The sequence below is a fragment of the Homo sapiens genome, chromosome 5 (genome assembly GCF_000001405.40).
Source record: "Homo sapiens chromosome 5, GRCh38.p14 Primary Assembly".
Taxonomy (NCBI): Eukaryota; Metazoa; Chordata; class Mammalia; order Primates; family Hominidae; genus Homo; species Homo sapiens.
This window is the reverse complement of record NC_000005.10, coordinates 86694769-86718469: the sequence shown is the minus strand read 5'-3', so window position 1 is coordinate 86718469 and position 23701 is coordinate 86694769. Positions and strand designations below refer to the sequence as shown.

General features: G+C 34.7%; 1 annotated feature.

The window, feature by feature from the left end:
• Window positions 1848-2445: an enhancer, noted in NCBI's record as "OCT4-NANOG hESC enhancer chr5:86011842-86012439 (GRCh37/hg19 assembly coordinates)". NCBI's record gives its function as "activates a minimal SCP1, AML or CMV promoter by ChIP-STARR-seq in naive H9 embryonic stem cells {active_cell/tissue: H9 hESC(naive)}" and the evidence as "EXISTENCE:reporter gene assay evidence [ECO:0000049][PMID:30033119]".

The following is a 23701-nucleotide window of genomic DNA, read 5'->3' as shown; positions in this document are numbered from 1 at the left end:
TAGTCCAGCTGATCCTGCAATGCCTTTGATGCTCATGTCTGAGGATTAAGCAGGTGGATAAGCCAAAGCAGGATGCTGTCCTCTTACCTACTATGTACCCTTCTCCCTGCCCATGGCTTTGGAAGGAGTAAAAATGAAGAGATAAGATCTAGAGAGAAGAATGATGGGAGAAGGGAGAGAGAGAAAAAAAAAGGAGGAATGGGGAAGAGGGAGGAGGAAGGAAGGGGGAAAAAGAACAGATAAACAACGGAAAATTTGCTTGGAAAGCAGAAGACCAGAGCAGAGCTTCAAGGGAAACAGAATCAATCTCTCTGTGGGAGCAGGAATGCTAGCACACTGTGGAGTGTTCTGACAGGTGGATTTTCATAACCCACTAGAGAGGAATACTGCAGCACACAAACTCCCATTAGGCACATATGACAGTGACCACATGATTGAGAAGTTACAGAGGTGTGAGGTCAAAGAATTTCATAGCTCTGAGTTCAGGTTTGCTCTTCGAGAGAAAAGTACAGTTAATTTCTGGGGATCAGAACATTACACTCAGTTGTTCTGGGCTGAACAAAAATTCTTAAGTGGAGGCATTTTAAGTGATGACCACGGAACTATTTACAGTTAAACTAACCAGACTGTCATCTAAGCTATGCACTGCAGTTGAGTTCAAGTCAATAAATATTTATGTACAGTTGCTATTTGGGGTACTAGAGATAGAATAGTGTATAACAGTCTTTCTCCTCATGGAACCTAAAGTCTGGTGGTACAGAAGGATTCATTTATGACCCTTGACCTGAATAGAAAAGATTTGAGATGGGAGCACAGAAAATACAACTCATATGGCCAGGAGCGGTAGCTCAAGTCTTTAATCTCAGCATTTTGGGAGGCTGAGGAAGGCGGATCACCTGGGCCCTGGATTTCAAGACTAGCCTGGACAACATGGCAAACACTATTGCTACAAAAAAAATTTTTAAAAATAGCTGGACATGATGGCACATGCTTGTGTTCCCAGCTACTTGGGAGGCTGAGGTTGGAGGATCACTTAAGCCCAGGAGGTCAAGGCTGCAGAGAGCCTTAACTGCCACTACACTCCAGCCTGGGAGACAGAGTGAGATCTTATCTCAATCAAAAAACAGATGTCATTCTTTAAAAGAGAAAGAAAACACAAGTCTTAAGTTCTAAAGGTAACTAATGCATTCTGTTTACAGGTGCAGAAATGGCAATTTACCACTTAGGTGACACGTTTTTGTTATTCATTCTTCATTCTGTTGTTCAGTTAACAGCTGAACAACTTCTCTGTACCAAACACTGTGTGCAATGCTATATGTAGAATAATTTACCTAAATTTCCCTGACCATTAGATTTGCCTTGGTAAAAACAAAACAAAACCCCACAGAATTATCTTGGAGATTCTTATTTCGTACAGAAATAAGAATTAGAGTTGATCCCAGAAGTATGTATGTTCAGCATGCACTTCAGGAGATGCTTATAAACAAAACAGTTTAAGAAATCCTGCTATGGAAAATACAAAGATAAAGTAGATATGGGACCTAGTCTCAAAGACTTTACAACTTCTCAAACTTTTCTGATTTTCCTCTGTTTGAAGGGTTAATTCGCTTTATGTCAGTTAAATAGGAACTATAAAATAATGTCACTTTATTTTTTGGTGACTCTGAAACTGGCTCTGCAGGAAATTCCAAAAGCACAGCCCCTAATATATTTGGAGTAGTGAATTTCCAAGGTGACTAATTTAAATTGCAGAATTAAAAAAAAGTTTGGTATTAGAAAAAAAAGTATTACTTTAGAGTCATATGCTTCATAGTTATAAACATGTAATTTTGAAGGTCTTAGGAACCCTGATAATTCTCTCAAAAATTCACGGGAAAACTGGACCCGGATAGGCTGTTTCCCACATTCATTCATTCAGAACTAGTCATAAGAGAAAGAGAACTAGAACCTCTATCTAATTCTAAGAATATATTATTTCCATCTTATCATTATTAATCCCATCATTCAGCTGCTGACAGAAAAGACAAAGGGTCTTCCACAGACTTCAAGCTTCAAAAGGAGCATGGGGTTGAACATCTTAAGCTCATCACTGTATCCCAGCAGGGAGCACAGTGCCTGGAGTGCTTCACAGGTGAGGAACCATTTCCTCTCACCCCATTAAACCAAGGGTACATGTGGAATGCGTATCAGATTACCCTCTCTCTTCTTCCCAGTTTTTCTTGGCAAACATCCCAGCACCCACCTTAAACCTCCCTCTCTCCACCCTTACCCTTCCCTGGAGCACTAGTACACAAATATGATTACCAGGTCCTTTTGAAGCCTTTTGGGTAACTACTCCAAGCGTGTTCCCCATCTCAGCAACATCAGCACCAACTGGGAGCTTGTTAGAAATGTGGAGTATATGGACATCCCAGACCTATTGAATCAGAATCCACATTTAACAAGATCCCAGGATGATTCTTATGCACATTAAAGTTTGAGATGCACTGGTCTAGGGTCCATATCAAACACACATTGAACAAACTTTACTTTTTGTAAAGATGTAATGGCAAGGGAGTAAATTATAGTTTAGGAAAGAAATAGAAGATGGCTGACCTTTTTGGGGCAGACTGATAAAAATATTTCCAACCTATAATTACATTAATTAACAGCTTTATCTTTGGAAACAGTTTTTTGGTCCTGTATCTAATTTGTTTAATAATAATTAAGTCCTGAAAAGATTTATTATATTGTTACTTTAGCAGGATTTTGGCAAAAACAAGTGAAGCAAAAGGCATTTCTTGAGGATTAATGAAAAGTTATAAGGAATGGCTGGCTTGAGACAAGCCTGAATGCAATTAATCCATCCAGTTAGCAATTCTTAGCACACACCTTATGTTGAAGTTGCTATTGTTTCATTCACAGAGCACTGGGAAAAGAAAGAAAGAAACAGTGCTCTATTGATCTTTTCTCATGCTCTAGGCAGTTTCATTTTGTTGTTTGCTAATATTTTCTGGAGGCCCTTACAGAGAACCATTGCTTTGTTCATTAACCTTTCAAATTGCTTAATGTTTGCAGCATACAGTGCAATATGATCTAGTGCTGTTACCTCAACATTTCATTTAATTCACTCTACTATTCTTACTACATGTAGAAAATGTAGTGTCAATTCCAAACTCATTATGCAAATATTTCACTTAGGTGCTGTTATTTTGACTTCCATTACCTCTACTCTACCATTATTCCTGCCTCCGGTGAATCAGAAGTGTCAAATTACATATGTAGATTTGTGGGATTTTTTTGGGTTTTGGTGTGATACTGAATGTCTCCCACAGACTCAGCAGAAAATCAATTGTATTTGAATCAACCACTGCATTCTGCATTTTCAAATATTACAGTTCTAATATGTCCTCTCAAGAAAAGTCTTATAGCATATAAGCCTTAAGAATTAGCTTAGGAAATCATTTCATACTTACAGAGCCAGGAAACATCTTCCCTCAAAACACATACATGTCTGTATGTTCACTGAAACTTCTATCTGAAGATGGTATTTAGTTCTAGGTTAAACTATGGAAGGATTCCGTACTATAAAAAAGTTTAAAAGATGAAACAAGACACAAGGGCTTACCTTCTATACATAAGACTTTTTTTTTAATACAACAGGCTTTACTTTACATGTTTATAAGTAATAAGTAGTATACCCTAAATAAAGCTATCTGCCTTTATGTACAATAAAAATGTATTTGAATTTCCTCAAAATCAAGTTCACATTCTTTGTATTTCAAGGAAATGTCCCTGTCTACAAGTCCATATGTTAGATCACTCTTTTATTCAAAACACAAGATATTAAAATACAAAAAGTCATTTTTCATAACATAAATAGAATTTTGCTCAGTTTGTTCACTGCTATTCCCATGTTGGTTTAGCCTCATATATGCACTCATAGCTGTGCATATGAGTAATGCCCAGCTGACCTAAGAGTGTTCAGGTGAAGTATTTTTCCCCTTCCCCCAACTCCTCATTCCAAAACCCATTGATTCCATCTCTAGCTGGTTTTAAGCACCCTTATTAATGGTGGGTAAAATCTAAGCATTTTTTATCAAAGGATACTCATGATCTGAGTCCAATTTAATCTTTTGAAAGTCCCCACCTCACCAAGATGAGTATTTCATCAATTATTGCCTGTATATTGAATAATTTCTCATATATGTGTATATGTGTGGTTCTTTATCTTTAAATATATGTAGATGTAGTTGTGATTAATAGAATAATACACTTAAAAGTATTCTCACATTAACTTCTCATTATGTTTTTAAGCTATTGGATGTTCGTCTCTCGTAAAAATAAATTTATCATTGTAAAAAACAAAATACTAGATTTCATTATTGAAAATGTGGATAAAACTACTCTAGAGAAGAAAACATGAAGTGTATGTGTGCCTTCTTTTGCTGCACAAATGAAATCCCCGCTAACCAATGAGCATCTATTATCTAGTTAGTGTCAAGCAATGTACTAGGTATAGATGACCACACCAAAATGTATATGACCCAGTCTCTGTTTGACCCAAAGTAGCTTATAATAGGTCTAGACTTGTGAACTGAGGCATGAGTTTTCATTTTTAAGTTTTCATATGATTTAGTCAATTTTAATGCAATAAGATGAAGGCTAATATGTAAAACAAATGCATTATGGATTATATTAAAACTTTATACAGAAAACTATATATATACATATATATGTGTGTGTATACATATATGTGTGTGTATATATATATATATATAGTTCATCTAGGAGTGATAATTTGTCTTATAGCCACCTTTAAGAAAGAAGGTGATTGGTGACAGAAGAAAATGTAGATTAGAGTAGCGGCAGTATACAACATCTACTACACATTGAAAACACTGTCCTCAATAACTTTAAAAAGCCTTTGATTTGTGTGTACTTTTACCAGTTCAATAGATTTCTTCAACTTTTATTATATACTGACATCCAGGGATATTGATCCAAAAATATTTTATCCATAAAAGCAGTTGATGTATTTAAGCATCTAAAGATTTTGTTTTTAGTGCATTTTTATGTATGATTCATTTTCCCAAGATCAACAATTTCTTGACATTCATTTAAAACATGGTTAGAAATATCAGAGCCTAGATTAATTGACTCTTCTAATTAACAGTCATAAACTTTTACAGATTCCTACAAATCCTGGTCTTGAAAATGGCCTAAAACAAAGAGTATATTACAGCAAATGTTTTAGGTGATGTGTGTTTTCACCAAGCTATCTCTTGTTTGAAAAAACTACCCTGTCAAAATTGTTTTATTAATGAATTTATAGATTCCTTTGGTCAAATAAGCAGTGCGTTTACAACTTAAACATCAGCGTAAGTCTTGTGACCCTTTTCAGATTTAACTTTTTCTTCCAAATGGTCATTTAGAGTTTTATGGTTTAAGATACAGGATAGATTTTGGAAGTGATTAGGATCTGAGGAGTGAATTCTGAGAGAGTAAAGTGTTTTCATTTCCAGGTTTCTGAAACTTTGTATTAACCAGCTCTGTAACTTTCTCTATAATATGGATGAACTCACTGTATCATTTGAGGAATCTAGTAATTATTAGATATTTAGGCAGAAAATGTTAAGTATTAGATAAAAAAGTGTATTAGTCTGTTTCACACTGCTATGAAGAAATACCCGAGACTGGGTAATTTATAAAGAAAAGAGGTTTGATTGATTCACAGTTCCACATGGCTGGGGAGGCCTTAGGAAACTTACAATCATGGTAGAAGGTGAATAGGAAGCAAGGATCTTCTTCACATAGCAGCAAGGAGAGAAGAGCTAGCAAGAGCAGGGAAAACTGCCTTATAAAACCATCAGATCTCATGAGAACTCACTATCATGAGAACAGCATGGGGGAAACTGCCCCCATGATCTAATCACCTCCCACTGAAGCCCTCCTTTGACACATGGGGATTATGGGCATTACAATTCAGGATGATATTTGCAGGAGGACACAGAAAAACCATATCAGACAGGAAATAAAAAGAGATTCAGAAGTTCAACATAATAAAATTTTTTAAAAAGTTCATTAACCAATTAACTAGTTTTCCCAAATAGTTGATGGGGCTATTTTGAAGTGCTAGATGATGTACTGTGTATCAGTAACATAATTTGGCCAAGTTACAATATGGTGGATGAGATGGTGGTAATCAAGGTGAAAAGAGGTGAGGTGAGTAAAGAGGTGACAGGCATTTGAATTTGTAAGTGTCTTTTATAATCCATCTTGGCATATTTTTGGCAGATCAAGAAAAAACATCACATTGGAAAATTTTAATTTACTAATCATTGATGGAGAAGAGAGCCCATGATGGAGCAGGACTAAAAGATCTCTGTCCTTCCTTTAATTTGCTTAGATTTATAATTAAGTAATCAAAATATGTACACAAAACTGAATGTGACTTCTGACTACACTGAATAAAAGTAAGTGAATTAAAATAACTAGTTACTAATAGATCTGCATTATCCTAAACAACTGTTGACAGTAGTAAATCAACTTCTTTGGCCCTGATATAGCAGACAAATACTTTGAGAACACCTGATTTCAACAGGGTGTTTGGACATTGGGTGTAATACATATTTAGTTCAGAATATGTCAAGCACTCCTTTAAGTACTTTATCATATATAAGGTAGATGTAGTCTATGTCTTTGTTCTTAGTTACAAAATTAATGAGATTTCAATACTAAAACACTTGCAACAATAAGGATATTGTAGCCAAATCAAAATGCATTATTTGGAATGTGAATTGTCCAGTTTGGATACCTTTATTGATTTACCTGTTAAATAGCTTTTAAGCTCTATTAGAATAGTTCTAAGCTCTATTAGAATAGCTCTAACTATTCACTAAAAAAAACTTTTTTTTTTAGTGAATGCTTGAATCCCCATGGAGAAACAGCCCTGCTTCCTTGTACTTTGTTTTCTAGTGAGGTATAAATAGAATAAACAAATAGATGAAAATCACAATTATGGAAATTGTTAATGCTATGAAGGAAAAAACTAATAAATAAAGTAAAATGAATATAAAGTCACTTAATTTGGCATCAGGCAGACACCGTTTGAAATCTGTGGCCTATTTACAGAAAAAAAAACACTGTACTTGTAATGAATTTGAACTCTCTAACAAGGAACATGCAAGCTAAGGAGTCACATAATCACTTTTGACACATAAGGTAAATCTAGAAACAAATGTAGATAATATTTAATAGTTTTGTAGAGGATGTTGCAGAAGTCCACACTCTTTTAATGAACCATTAACACTTAAAGATATGTATTAAAATGTTGCTAAGATTAGAATATAGAAAAAGGAGTAAGAAAATTTAATGATCAACTTAATACTTTAGTTTTGCTACAGGGCCCACTATTTTACACACTTCAGATCAATAAGTGAGGAATAGTATAATAGGTCAATGATGTCAGACAGAGCTTCAGGGCAAAAAAATTAAGACATGGCCAAATTCTGAGCAATAATATGTAAAAAATGCTTAATGATATATTTTTTCTTTCAAATAAATCCCTGTCCCAGTTTCCTAGTTAATAAAGTAATACCTTTTTAGTCTCTCACAGCAATAACCTTTTCACACTGATTTATAAGAGAAAGACAAAGAATACTTTATTCAAAGCATTCAATCATTTATTGTTCACTGAATTGTTGATTGTTCATTCAATCATTTATTTATTGAACAAATATTTACTGAGCATCTATTACAGTTCTTCCTAAACCTGATTTTGGTATTTTAGAAATGTACAGTGGCTGTTTTACACTCAGTTAGACCAAAGGATGATAACATAGAGAAATTATCTACGTGTGTCCCTCATGGCTGTTTTACTTGGTTGCTGTGGATTCCTACAAGTGTATATATGGTGCAGTGCATCAGATTACTTACCGAGGACTTCCTTAGGACACCATTTAGTTGTGCTGAGTTGTTGGATACTTTATGACATTATCTAGACACTGGCTAAAGCCACTTTTATATTTAGGAAAAATGCCTATCACAGAAATGTTAAATGGGGATTGTCTCATTTATATACATTTAGCATAAAATCATTGTATTTATTATATATGCAATATTGAGCTCTTTAAAAAAAATGAATAAACACATCATTTGTATAAATAAGATATAATATAGAGGAACCAGAAGAAAGTATTCTGTTATAGTTAGCACTTATTAGACTCATACCTAAAGACTATGTCCAGATATTAATCCACAAACTAAGGAGAATGTAGATTTAAGGAAAAAATGAGAAAGAAAAATTTAAAATTAAAAAATCAGATAAAGAAGAAAATGTCAAATTAAAATCACTTTTTGTAAATATAAAAAAGCTGATATAATTCAGTAATATAGAGCTGTACAGAGCTATTAGATAAAAGATATTGAGCAAATATTCTGTATAGTCAAGAGGGTAAAAGTGGGGTAGGAAGAAGTGAGAAAGAAAGTTAGTTTAAGGACCTTATATAATGTCCTTCCCCAAACTCTTAATCAGCAGTATACATGGTATTGCTCTTATCTGCTATGGGTCATTCCAAAGTATTTCTACTTGAAACCTAGAGCTCTGACTTTATGTCCTTACAAATCACAATTGCTATTTTTTGATTGAGTTTGAACTATGTATGTGTAAGGCATTTTTCTATGACTTTATATTCTAATACCACATCAGTGCTGCAAGGTAGGTGTTATTAAACCTGCTTGCCAGTGAATTAACTCAGCATGGGAGTTCAAGCACCTCACTCAAGGTCACTCAAAGGCTGAAGAGTGAATGGTCCTTTTGGAAGCCCTTGATTTCTGTAGAACTCGGGGCTTGTACAAACATCTTTGCTTCTGGGCTTTATCAGGAGGCAGAAAGTGTGTAGATTTGCTCTATCAAATACACAGTTCTTCAGATCACAGAAATCTAATTGCCTTTGAAATGACAGTCTCTAGATAATAAAGTTGCACTGACCAGCCAAAGTTTGAGTAACTATTCAAATTCTAGCAATAACTTTATCAAAAGTGTATCTATTTATTTAGGATGAGTAGGCAGTAAAATACAGTATTTATGCTGATAAAGTTACTTGCAAATGCTGAGGCACTAAGCCCAGACAATTTCAATTCCTGTGACTCAATACAGTCTAACAACAGTGAAATCATTAAGAAAGAGTTTATGTACTTGCAAGTAATAAAGGTGTTGTCTATAGTTCCATATATTAGAGAACTTGAAATATCTAAGAAGGTACATTTGAAATTAATGGTGCATATGGAAGAAAATTTTAAATGTCAGTCTTGCAAGGAATGTGAGTGGGATGAGACAATGAAAGTTTATTCAACTTTAGAAATGTACTAGCTCAAAATGGTCTTGCTCTTCTAAACAATCATTTATTTTCACAGAAAATATATTAAGTCAAGAATTTTTATCCTACTTAAAGAAAACTTTGTGTGGATAAGTGAGGTAGAGGGGCCTGAGGAAACTTAAAAAAAAGAAAAGAAACAGATTAACTGCAGCAGATATTCATTATATTACTTCACTCTTAGTTAATAATAGCTATAAAAATGTGTCCAAATCTGAGACCTTCAAAATTGTTCAAATACATTTAATAGAATCTCATCATGCATTTTATTTCCATTTCTTTATATTAATAAACATACATTGTGTATAATAAATATTAATACACTGTCACCATGTTCCTTCCATTTCCAGATACATTTAGTTTACTTTTACTCTCTTTTATACCCTTCCCCCACCCTTTTTTCCCCCAATTATAAGTTCCTCTCATTCCATTCAATGAAATGCAAGTTTCATCTCATCTTGGGGTCAAGAACAAAAATCTTCCACAGTGTAGCACTTGGACCCCACACAACAACTGTGAGTTAATGTCCCCGGGGACTTGAAGCCCAAGGTAAATTCTCAGTGTTTGTTAGTTAAGTCTGCCACAGCTCTCTTGGAAAAGAAACTCCATCAGCTGCAAAATCCAGGTTTGTACAGGCATATGAAATTCCTTGAAGTTCTTGAATAAATTTTTTTCCAGTTCTTCCTTACTTACTATTATATCACCTTACTCTCATTATATCACCTTATGTCATCTGGTGCCAGAGTCATGTTATCTAATGGGAGATACAATCACTGGTATTGATCTGGGAATGTTCTCAGAAACTCTCTGCCCTCTATTATGTTTGTGTTCAAATGTACACACTTGCGAGTTTTTACATATGTCACAGAATTCAGGCTTTCAGGTACATTTTTAAACTGGAAAAATTGTTAGGTAGAATTCAGAATATTTGTTTTACATGGCAACAATTAAACTATATATTGCTATCTATTTAAAATCGTGTTCTGCCCATTCTCTCTAACAATTATAAAAACTATTTCATACTCTTTTTCCCTATAGCTTTCATCTAACCTAGGTGTCCAACAAATACACTACATTTAGGTGAACTCCAGCCCTCCTCTCTATGTTTTTCCTATACCCCAATACTTTCCCCAGCATTCACCACAGTGTACCATTACCACTACTACAATTACACCATGCACATTCACAGTACTCCAGCCTTCCTATCGGAGATTGTGCGTCTTTGATATGAAATGACCTCTTGCATATTTCCTCCCTCTAACACAAATGTTCACTTCCTTACAGTATTTCTCAGGTCAGCAACCAAATAAAATGTGATAATTCTTCTAAGGTACTAAGGATTTAAGGGAATATTGGCATTTTTTTAAAGCAGCTTTCACATGCTACACAATATTTCAAGGAGCTAATCATTACTAGCATACATTTAGGCAAATAAATACATTATAAAGCAAATATTTGGGAGTAAAGGGATCCTCACATCCTATAATATCCTCCAAGGACATACATTAAAATACTTTTTCGATAGATTGACAATATATCTTTTCTCAGTTTCCTAGGGAAGATAATACAGTGAAATGGGAAAATCTACTGGACCTCATGGTATTCAAAAGTATTGGCATTTCTATTCAGTTTTGCAATGAATAACATTTCCAGCATATCTCTTAAACTGTTTTAATCTCAACTTTTCCATATATAAATTAAATTTTTTGACATTAAATATATGATTCTATAGTATTATATTCTTAGAACTTGGTTTATCTGGTATTTGTGTTGTGAAACAATGGCACTGATACAGTTTGGCTGTGTCCCCACCCAAATCTCATCTTGAATTGTAGCTCCCATAATTTCCACATGTCATAGGAGGGAACCAGTGGGAAGTAATTGAATCATAGAGGATGTTCAGGTGATAGTGAATAAGTCTCATAAGACCTGCTGGTTATATAAAGGGGAGTTCCCCTGCACATGCTCTCTTGCCTGTCACCATGTAAGATGTGACTTTGCTCCTTATTTGCCTTCTGCCATGATTGTGAGGCCTCCCCAGCCATGTGGAACTGTGAGTCAATTAAACCTGTTTCCTTTATAAATTACCCAGTCCTGGGTATGTCTTTATTAGCAGTGGGATAACAGACTATTACAGGCATAGAAGAAAAAATACAGATTAGAAGGAGAGAAACTTTTATAAAAAATGAGAATTAAGCTTTCACAAATGTAAGATAAATCAAAATATATGTACTTTAACAGAGTACATGAGTTTAGTACTGGTACAAAAACAGACATGTAGACCAATAGAACAGAGTAGAGAACTCAGAAATAAGACTGCACACCTACACATCTAAGCCATTAGATCTTCGACAAACCTGACAAAAACAAGCAATGGGAAAAGGATTCTCTATTTCATAAATGGTGCTGGGAGAACTGGCTAGCCATATGTAGAAAATTGAAACTGGACCCTTCCCTTGCACCTTATACAAAAATTAACTCAAGATGGATTAGAGACTTAAATGAAACCCCAAACTATAAAAATCCTAGAAGAAAATCTAGGCAATACCTTTTAGGACATAGGCATGGGCAAAGATTTAATGACAAAAACACCAAAAGCAATTGAACAAAAGCAAAATTGACAAATGGGATCTAATTAAACTAAAGAGCTTCTGCATAGCAAAAGAAACTATCAATAGAGTGAACAGACAACCTACAGAATGGGAGAAAATTTCTGCAATCTATCCATCTGACAAAGGTTTAATATCCAGAGTCTACAAGAAATTTAAATTTACAAGAGAAAAACAACACCATTAAAAAGTGGGCAAAGGACATGAACAGACACTTCTCAAAAGAAGACACACCTGTGGCCAAGAAACATGAAAAAAAAGCTCAACATAACTGATCGTTAGTGAAATGAAAATCAAAACCACAATGAGATACCACCTCATGCCAGTCAGAATGGCAATTATTAAGTCCAGAAGCAACAGATGCTGGTGAGGTTTCAGAGTAAAAGGAAGGCTTTTACACTGTTGGTGGGAATGTAAATTAGTTCAACCGTTGTGGAAGACAGTATAGCGATTCCTCAAAGATCAAGAAGCAGCAGAAATACCACTTGACCCATATACCTAAGGAATATATACCTAAAGAATATATACCTAAAGGAATATATATCATTCTATTATAAAGATACATGCATGCATATGTTCATTGCAGCACTATTCACAATAGCAAAGATGTGGAATCAAATGAAATGCACATCAATGATAGACTAAATAAAGAAAATGTGGTACATATACATTATGGATTAATATTCAGCCATAAAAGAAATAAGACTATGTCTTTTGCAGGGACATGGATGGAGCTGGAAGCCATTATCCTCAGCAAACTAACACAGGAACAGAAAACCAAACACTGCATGTTCTCACTTATAAGTGGGAGCTGAATGATGAGAACACAAGGACACGTGGAGGGAAATAACACACACTGGGGCCTGTTGGAGAATGGGAGTAGGAGGAGGGAACGCATGAGGAAGAGTATCTAATGCATGCTGGGCTTAATACCTAGGTGATAGGATGATTTGTGCAGCAAACCACCATGGCACGTGTTTACCTATGTGACAAACCTGAACATCCTGTACATGTGCCCCAGAAGTTAAGAGAAGTTGAAGAAAAAAAGGAAAAAATACATGATTTTTACTGAATGTGTTTATAATTTGTCAATTGAGTTCTAAAGAAAAGAACCCAGAGGGGGTCATTAATGTATTAATAGGAACTTTAAGAATGAAATCTGACTGTAATCCAATCTTTAATGCTTCTAAATATAATTTGATATTGCCCACAATTCAATACATTTATTAAACAAATGGACCCGCCAATAAATCTTAATCTTGAAGGACAAACAGCTCTGCAGCTCACAAAAAGAAATATTTAAAGACTTCTACTTTTGACTATATTCCAAACACAGGCTTTATACATTTTACTATATTACTTTACAATGATATGTTAGCATTCCTATGCTGCATCCCAGTCAAGGTTTTGAAGTGAAAACCTGAGAGAATCCGCAACGATCAACACAAGGTCATTGTGAGCATACAAAGCATCTTCTACCCTCCAATTCCTAAACACAATTTGGAAACCTTTGAAACAAAGAAAGAGGTGCTAGAATCCAAGAAAAACTAATTCTTCAGATTATCATTTCAAAAATAAGATCTTTACAGATGAGAAATAACTCAGCTCAGATGCCATGCTACTAAAAACAGTAAAGAGATTTTAATTTATTCCTGTGGGATAGAGTGTAGGGAAAATCAGGTGAGAGGTAATTCTTTTTTAATTTATTTTATTTTATTTTATTATTATACTTTAAGTTTTAGGGTACATGTGCACAATGTGCAGGTTAGTTACATATGTATACATGTGCCATGCTGGTGTGCTGCACCCATTAACTCTTCATTTAGCATTAGGTATATCTCCTAATGCTATCCCTCCCCCCTCCCGCCACCCCACAACAGTCCCCAGAGTGTGATGTTCCCCTTTCTGTGTCCATGTGTTCTCATTGTTCAATTCCCACCTATGAGTGAGAACATGCGGTGTTTGATTTTTTGTCCTTGCGATAGTTTACTGAGAATGACGATTTCCAGTTTCATCCATGTCCCTACAAAGGACATGAACTCATCATTTTTTATGGCTGCATAGTATTCCATGGTGTATATGTGCCACATTTTCTTAATCCAGTCTATCATTGTTGGACACTTGGGTTGGTTCCAAGTCTTTGCTATTGTGAATAGTGCCACAATAAACATTCTGTTAATCTGCTACCTGCAGATTCTTTCCAGTCCTGAGGAACTTTGATGACAAAATCCTTTAAAAGAAGATGAGGAGTGGATTCTAATCTTTTCCCGTGCTAGGGTAAGACACAGTGAGAGACTGTACTACAATTGGATGAGAAAATTAAAGAAAACTTTAAGTTAAAAATTTTAAATTAAAGGAAAATTAAAGTTTTCTTAAATTTTCTCAATATGACAACTTCTAGCAGAGAATTCAATTAAAAAATAAATTTCTGATTTACATTGAGGAAGATCTTGAGATAAGAAATTGACAATGCCTCTTTTCACAATCATATTTTTTAAGGTCCATCCTAGGCCAACTCAAAAACAAATTTTTGGGGGGTCTCTTAATCTACTCCTTCAATGCTTTTTTATAGGACTCTTTGTGTTGCATAGTGCTCTGTGTGTTGTTACTCTAAATAGTAGTATAACATTAGTCTACACAAGGATACTGTCATTCTATTAGATCTTGAAGACCTCCCCAGTCAAGAATGAGAGAGATATGTTTGGAAAAGAGATCAGTCTTTCTAATAGTCACCATTTATTGTGTGCTTGGTTCCAGGGATTACATTGGGTATCTTATTTTTAAATAACTTTTTTCTTCTCTTTATCATCTTGTAAACATTGGGTATCTTACATCATCTTTAAAATTCTCACCAAAATCTAAAAGTTTTCCATTTCCATTTTAAAGAGAATTGAGATATAGGAAAGTTTAACTTCTTTTTCTCTGAGACACAACTAGAAAATATTAAAGGTGGAATAGGAACCAATGCCTGTCTTATATCTTTTATTTATATCTTTATCTTATATCCAAAACTCTATATCTTTTATTGCATTTGTCTCCCTTTTGTGTTGTACTTCACTGCATATCACTTCCATCTACAAGGTAAAACCAATTTTCTCCAACTCAAGGTTGAGTGTTCACTATTCGGGACTCAGAAAGAGGATGAAAGTACAATAAGGCAGATAACTATAGGCTGTTAATTTGTAGCTCAAGGACCAACAATCCTTCCTATCTCTTACAATGTCAGTTCTAAATTCTAGAATTATCCCAAGTCTCAAGACCTGCAGCTTGGTGCCACTCTATTCATCCAACCTGTTTGGATTCTCCACTCAGGCCAGTTTCTTCATGTCTTTCCATGATCCAAGGTATGTTTATTTGTATAGTCAAAACTCATGCTGCTTTTCCTATTTATTCTCCTTCGGTTCCCAGTTTCTAGCTTATTCACATTCTACTCAACTTTTGGGGACAACTCTAACTCCCAATCCTTTTCAAAGCCTTTTCCAACACTTACAGACTATTCTGACCTCTTTTTCTGCTTCTGAAAAAGTCCTTGGCAGCTATGCTATTTTTCATTATTTTCCAAATTGTTTGTGTCTTGTCTTCCCAAGGAAATAGCAAGTAAGAAGCAAACAAAATGCTAGATCACTTGTTCTCAATAAATACCAACTATGCAAATAGTTGAGCTGTTTAAGCATGAGATATATCTGAGACATTGTGGAGCAAAACCTAACAAAAATCACCCTTCAGCCAATCCCATCTCATACCTTAAATGCATCAGGGTCAGGGAGGCATTTTTCTATAAGCCTTTCCCATCTAACTTAAAGAACCTTATACGTGCATGTGGTGAGCTCTTTAGAACATTCTGGAATTTATTCTCAATAAGAGCAGTTCTCTGAATATTTGTGGTATTACTCCAGCTATTTGTACAATCACTGCAAAGTTCTTGATGATTATATCTAAGACACACATTACAATTTCTTAGCTTTGGGAACCTCGAGTAAAGAAAGAAACCAAAAAGCTTTTTTAAAAATGTAATATATACCATGAGGAGAAGGCTTGTGGTTTTTTTTTGTTTTGTTTTGTTTTTGTTTTTACTGTCCTCTTGAATACACTTGGTGAATATATCACTTCAAACAAGATTCCAATGAGCAACAAAGTTAATGTCAGCCTGGAACTTTGAAGAACTAGCAGAGCATTTGCAGTTAAATGTCTACCTCTAGAATAAAGCCCAATGGAAGAAACTCCAGTGAGTCACTACCTGAGGTATAGCCTAGATTTTATAATGGGCACAAACTCATAGACAAATATTTCTGATCTGCTGGCAAGACTGTTGACGTTTTAAATTTACTTCATTTAAGTATCATATGACTACTGGAAGCTTTAAGCCCAGTACTTTATTTCTTTTTCTTTCAACCCAATCACTGTTTCTTGCATTTGCTCTCTCATGCACTATGCACAAGATCCACAAGTCTGTGCTATGTGGAAAATCTGAAGTGAAGGAGAGCTAACTCACACAAATTTATATCACCTGCTTTTCTTTCAACTTTCTCCACTTTACCTAGAAAGATAACAGAATAGAAGGCATAAATAACTGTGGGTTTTACAACCATAAGCGTTCTCTCTTACCCCTTTGCCTAGAGAAACTATGTGGTCCCTGTATCTGTTTGTGGCTTCCATCATGCAAGGCTATTAGAGGTGCCACCATGATTGAAGCATATTGCAGAAGGCCTGGCTCTGGAGAGAGTAGGCAGGTCCTGAATGAGCAGTAGATACATTCATTTTTAAAATTCTATGGGATTTCTCTCAGTGATTATACCAATGCCTGGTATACAATAGGCACTTAGCAAATGCTGGTTAAGCTGATGCTATGGCTAGGATTCTGGAAGAAAATTTATTTTTAAGACATTACTTAGAAGAAAACATCTTGTATTTATACCTAGATTTTGCTGGGAGAGATCTGAAATGGCTTTTAAAACTATCAGATATATGCCTGTAGACTCTGGTTTTGGGGGCTGCAATAATTGTTCATATTTGCATAGTAGACATGATTTAATCAATTTGTCTAAAATATACCAAAGCAACAATAACACTTGCAGAGTTAAGGATCTAGGTTAACATTATCATAGTTCTTCAACTGATGTCATGAAAAGTTCAGTGGAGAGGTCTTTGGCAATAGTTATCCTCGCTCAGAAACATTGAGACAGAACATTAAGACGATACCTAAAATACTATGCTAGTTCCCCTGGTTTGCACTTTGTTAACTGCGAGTACTTTCCTCTTTTGTTTCCCACAAAAATTTAATATTTTCTATTATAAATAAAAAAAAATGTAGCGACTCAATTTTAAAGAGACATTAGATTAGGTGGAAATGTTTAGATGAATCTGGACACAAGTTTCCCTGGCAATGGCTTTACCTCTCTACTTACTAAATAGCAAACAGTCAGACTGAAGTAGTTCTCAAATGTCATATTTTGTTATGTTTATCAAATAAATGGGCTCCAGGGTCCTACAGTAAGTTGTAACCAGGAGACACCTGGCTCTATCTTGACTTGAGGCCAGTAGAGCATATTGGGGCTGTTCCACTGCTATTGTCTGATCTTCATTTTCTCTTTGTATCAAAGAAGGTGTTTCACCACCTGCTCTGTTCCACACACAAAAAAGGGAAACTGCCACAATTCCTTCAAAAAATTGTTACTCTACCAAAGGCCTACAGAAAAGCCTGGATTAAAATGAGGTTGGTAATTTGGTACCTTTTTTTATCCTGCTTTCAATATTCTCAGATGTTTAAATCACTGACTTTGTTTCTCCCATAACACTAGCACAACCTCACTTTAACCCCAGTTTGATTCTGGCTCAATAGTTAATGTCTGACTTGCTTTCAAAATTTCAAAGACCATAGTGAGCTACTAGCATGGGAAGAAGAGAATTAAAGTGTCTGACTTGCATCTTAAAGGAGTCTGAAAAGCAGATATATACATAAGCTTTTAAGTTGACAAGTTTTATTTCAAGACTCTTGTTAAATTCTCTTTGTACCCTTATGTGCTTCATCCAAAAGAGAATCAAAGAATGCATGGAGAATACAGTTACCACCTTTGGTAACTCACCTTGCTCTTCCAGCTATTTGTCTGGTGAACTTCTGATAACCAGCTTCTCTAAGTTGGGTCTGGAACAACACATCATCTTGAGAAAATATTTACTCATGTTCTGAACATTAAAGATACTGCTTTATGCTGCATGACAATACTGGGTGGTCTAAAATTTGAGTAGAGTATCTTGTACACTTAGGATGTTAGTGTTCTGAAGAAAAAACTTGTTTATGTTAGTGACATTGAAACACTATGAAAGATTTTTCCAGGACTTTTTAAAAATAAAAGTCATCTGTTCTGTTCTAGAGTTTTTGATAATATAAATATCACTTTATCAGTCAGAAGTCATTACTGATAACATAGTCAATCTATTTACTGAGTAGATTCAATCTTCATATTTCTTATTGCTTAGAAATTGCATCATTCATTCCTTTGGTGCTTAAAGAGCACAGTAACTTTCATCCTTCACTCTTATTTTTAAGATATAGGTCACAAGAAGATGAGATCAACTTTGAAGCCATAAGTTTTGTCAAACTTTATTTTCAAACACCCACCAAGCAGAACACCTAAAATTAAATTCTAAGTGTCATTTATGAAGAAGGAGTAAATTTTTCTCTCCACTGGCATAATTAAGGTACATGAATCATTTTTAATAGTACTTTTCCAAAGGTCTAAATGAACTTGTCCACTCTTTGGATCTTCCCCTTAGTTAAAAATATGACTGTTATTAAAAACAGATTCTAATCCTTATACCTTTATTACTTAGATGTCCACACAAAGCAAATGATAGATGGATCTATATACTGTCTTCATAAAATCCTTCCTGAGAGCATTTTTACTGATTACTAAACATTATAACACTAGAAAAAATAATTTAAGCAAAAATTTATAAATATAACAGAATTTTCGATATTATTATTGAACTCAGAAAGGGTTTCATCTTGATCTAATTTATTCCAAATTAATATATATGAATGAAAGTGTTAAATAAAAATACTTGGGAGAAGTACCCAAGATTAAATAAATCTTGTAACAATCTGTATTTGCATTACATACAATGTACTACTTGTAGTCTTTTGTTGTTTTTTGGGTTTTTCATTTTTGCCCTTTTAGATTAGTCTTTTTTTTACAATATTCTAAAGTTAATTAAAAATAATTAGCCAGTATTTTGTATTACACAGGTTCATGTCAAAATTAGAACACACGCATTTTAGTGGGACCTCACTGTATAACTTTTGATAATGCATAATATTCAATAGAAGGCAGTGCTAAATTGAATCGCACCCAAGAGGGGCCTCAGTTACTAAAATATATTGGAGACCTCATTATAAGCCTATTTTCCCTTAAAGTAATCCCACATCCCAGAACTTCTTAACATCCCTACATAGCAAGATGCTCTTCTTTACAGAACATCCTTCTGAGCTTTGTGACCAAGATGTCCGATTTAAAACTTAAACACTAGATAGAAAGCAGATTTGATTTTCTTCCCAATGGGAGATGAGAGAAAGCCATCAGTATGGGCAGACACATTGGATTGTCCAGTGTGATTGTGGGGGGTGAGGAAGTCGCAGGAGGTGTTCAGTGAGGTCATGGTATAGGGGAAATATGAATTGATAACCTCTAATAAAATGACCAATGCCCTACTTTCATAGATGTTTGAATCTTGTGTTTTTGTATCGACTCTTCGAAGAGCTAATAAGTGCATATTTCCCCCAGAGTTACATTTCAATAACCAAAAGCATCTTTTTAACTTTTGACATCTAAGTTGGCGAGCCTTTTTATTGATATTTAAACGTTTTAACACCAAGATCAACTTTCTAGATGTCTCCATGTCTACTCATGCTATAATTTTAAGGAACCAGGGACTTGTTCTTCCCTTACTCATATTGTTTTGCACTTCAATATCAAGACGAACCTTTGCCAGAAGGTACAACTCTTTAGTATCATCATTAGAGATATGGAAAACAGACACCTCTGGCAGAGCAAACGCATTGGTAAAACTGAAGAAAGGAGCATTTTTTCCAGATAGTTTTTGAAACGAGAGAGCATGAGGGTAATGAGTGCTTAAAGTGGAGTATTGATCACATAAAACAGGGAGGAGATATAGGAGAGAGAGATTGAGTATAACATTTAAGCGGCACAAACAGGCCTAAAAACAGTAAGCGATAAATGTTATTCCTAGTGCCTTTAGCTTTGCCAAAGCTGGCGTAACTCTATGTCCTAAAAGCTGTTTATAAGGATTAAAGACTATCTTCAATTAATTAATATTTTTGAAGAACTCGTTTGAACCGGGGGCTACTGAGGACTTAGAAGCAAAAGCACATTCTCTGATCTTGAGGATTTTAAAATCTTGTTGGAAGAGATCTGAATGACACAAATCAAAAAATAGCAATAGAATGTTAGTCACTCTGCTCTACACAGAGAACACAGTTACCCGCTTTCTGCCTCCACTAACTCTCACTTAACTGCCTCTGAATCTGTGATCAAACACAGTGACCCATATATGCTAATCATATAAAATGTATTTGTAAGGAAATAACAAGTGTAGATAGTATTAAAGCAGGTTCTAAGATGCCTAATTTTTAAAATTAAACATTGTAGATGAAATATGAATACAGGCATACCTCAGAGATATTGCAGGTTTGGTTTCTAGACCACTTCAACAATGCAAATATCACAATAATGCAAGTCACACATTTTTTGTTTCCCAGTACATGAGTTGTATTTACATTATATGTTAGTCTATTAAGTATGTTACAGCATTATGTCTAAAAATCCAATGTACCTTCCTTAACTAAAAATATTCTTTTGCTAAAATATGCTAACTAGTAATCATCTGAGCTTTCTGTATTATTATCATTATTTTTACTTTTTTCTTGGCTGATGTGCGTCTTCTGGGACTCAGAAGAAATGGTAGGCTCCCCAATGAAGAGTAAAAGTAGGATTTATACATTCTATAACTCCAGGTCAAATTTGAAAGTTGGTGGGGTGAAATATTTCCATTACCCTGTGGGTATCTAGCCCTCTGCTTATGGGATCCTGCAAGTTATAATCTTAATTTTTGTTGCAAGTGGTCTGACATTCAATAGCAGGCAGCCTAGGTACCTATAACTCATTAATCCTTTTTAACAGACAACGCCAAAAGCATGCAACACTCTTAAGTTTCAAGTGTAACATTTACACCAAAATTAAAATTGCAATATTATAATCAAGTTGTACCAGCAAGCTTTGTATATAAGGATTTCTGACTGTCAATTCTTTAGGGCTGGTCAGGAGACCAAAGAAAGTCAGTCTTATTACAAAGTGACATTTACTTAGGGAGTTTCAGACATCATGAAGAGGACTATCTTCCAAAAACGTTGTGATTTTTCCATAGTAGATTCAGAAAGGTTTACTCTGATAATTTCAGCCTTATCAACAGATTTGAGTCACTTGCGTGACTAGAATCATTATACAGAAAAGTATTTGACAAGATCCCTCCTTACTCCCTTCAAACAAGAAAAAAAAAAAAAAAGCTTCATCTAAATCCTCCAAATGATCATTTCATTGGTGATACACACAAATACTGCAAACCATTTGTACCTATAACTGGGCTTAAATCAGAGAGCAGTTAGATAAAGAAATAAAAATTTAAAACATTCATTCAAAAGAGTTAATTGAAACTAAATGAAATTGTTTTGTTTTGTTGTTGTTGTTTCTTTGCTTAAGCAATTATATAATTGTCCCCCTCTAGTATTAAGAAAAAAAAGACAAACAAGTTAATTTATTGGTTTACAAAATTGAAATTACTTGGTTCAAAGAATTACAAACTCCTGACCACATTCAAAGAATTACAAACTCCTGACCACAAGCAGCTATCATTTCATGGAAGGAAAATCAGGAACTGAAGTGCTAGCAGTGTTACATAGTAATCAAGCAACAAACTTTCTTGGCATTAGTGAATTACTACTACAGAGCATTAATTTCATGCTTGTCTACTCCAGTAAACTATGAATGCTTGCAGAAATTTAGGAAACAATAGTTAGAATAGAGTCAGAAAGCTCCTTAAAAATAGAGAAAAATGAAGTAATTGAAAGCACTTAATACAATTAAAATTTTTTATCTTAACCATGTTTGCAAACATCATGAGTATATCTAGGGTCTTATTTTTTGGAGAAATTGTTAATAAGTCTATTGCACATGAATCATGCATATTAAAAATGATTTAAAAGTTATGAGAAGAGATACCTTTATTTAAGTTGAAATTTGGAAGGTTAGGAGTCAGTGAGGAGCCAGTTAGGAGCCAGTTTCATTCTTAATTCCCCAACCTAAGGTTTTAAATTTTATTTTACATTAAAGTGGTTAAAACTGAGGAATATGGAAAAATGCAGCAAGATACAAACTCATAAATTTGGGGTTTCACTTCACAAATTAATTGTTTCTTCTCTGATTTTACTTATTTATTCATAATGACCTTTCCTATTTTTTTTTTATTTAGATTCATTGGTTTGGTCTGTAATGTAGCACTGATGATCCAGGAATGTTTTATGCTCTAATAAACTGCTTACAGAGGTACAAGCACTTGTCTGAAGTCACTTTAACTTTGTGTCTGCATGCCCTCAGGGATACTGTCATTTGTTTTGATGTCCCATGTGTGAACAAAAACACCTCGCACAATGGCATTTATATGTGCATGGAAATTTTCAGCAGTTATTCTTCTGCCTTTGCCATTGACTCATTTGTAAATCACTTTCAAATATACCCTCTATTCCGCACTAAAATGACTTTATCCTCAACTCCTGAAGAGAGTTTCATGACACAAAGTTGTCATCTTATGGTTCATTATTTTTGTGGAAGTACTTGAGCCATATATATCTGAAGAGAAGACACCAGTGGGTTGTGTGTGCACATGCTCTTAGCTCTCTTGATCTTACATGTATTCTTATTTCCCATCTCTCTTGATTAAAGGGGGAAAAAAGAAGGAATTGTGAATATTCTTATAATTGCATGAAATATGTAAGACCTATTCAGATATGTCAAGGACGTGTGCTTATCTGAGACAAAAGGGCACACTTCTGGTCATTGCCATCTGTAAATATGTATATATTTAGATCTGGAAAAGTCAATATAATCTATTTTGTCTTCTTCTCTAGAACAGGTAGAGATGTTTGGGAGGGAGTGGGGATTGCAGAGCTACCAGTCTGGTTCAAGCCCATACATTTGCCCAATGTCCCATACTGAACTGATCTGCCTTGTATTTGAACTTCATGTTTCAGAAACATAATGATGAATAGTCTTATCATAACTTCTTTATGAAAACATGAAAAACAGATAAAAGCCCTCAGTCGGTAAAATGGAATTTTTTAGCAGTACATTTTCTATAATAGTTAAACACTCCTAATCTGAAAATCTGAAATCTTAAGTGTGCTAAAATCCAAAACTTTTTGTGTTGACATGATGCTGCAAGTAGAAAATTCCATAACTGACCTCTTATGATGGGTTGCCATCAACATGCAGGTGCACAACATACAGTTTATTCGATGTTCCTGAGGGAAAAGACCCTTGGTAAACCTTTTCAGTTACAATATATCTTCCCTGAGCACACCCAGATTCTTCCATGCAAGCACATCCACAAAGAGTAATAAGATGGCAAGTGTGTAGGCCGAATGTGCCAACAACAGGTTTCTGATGC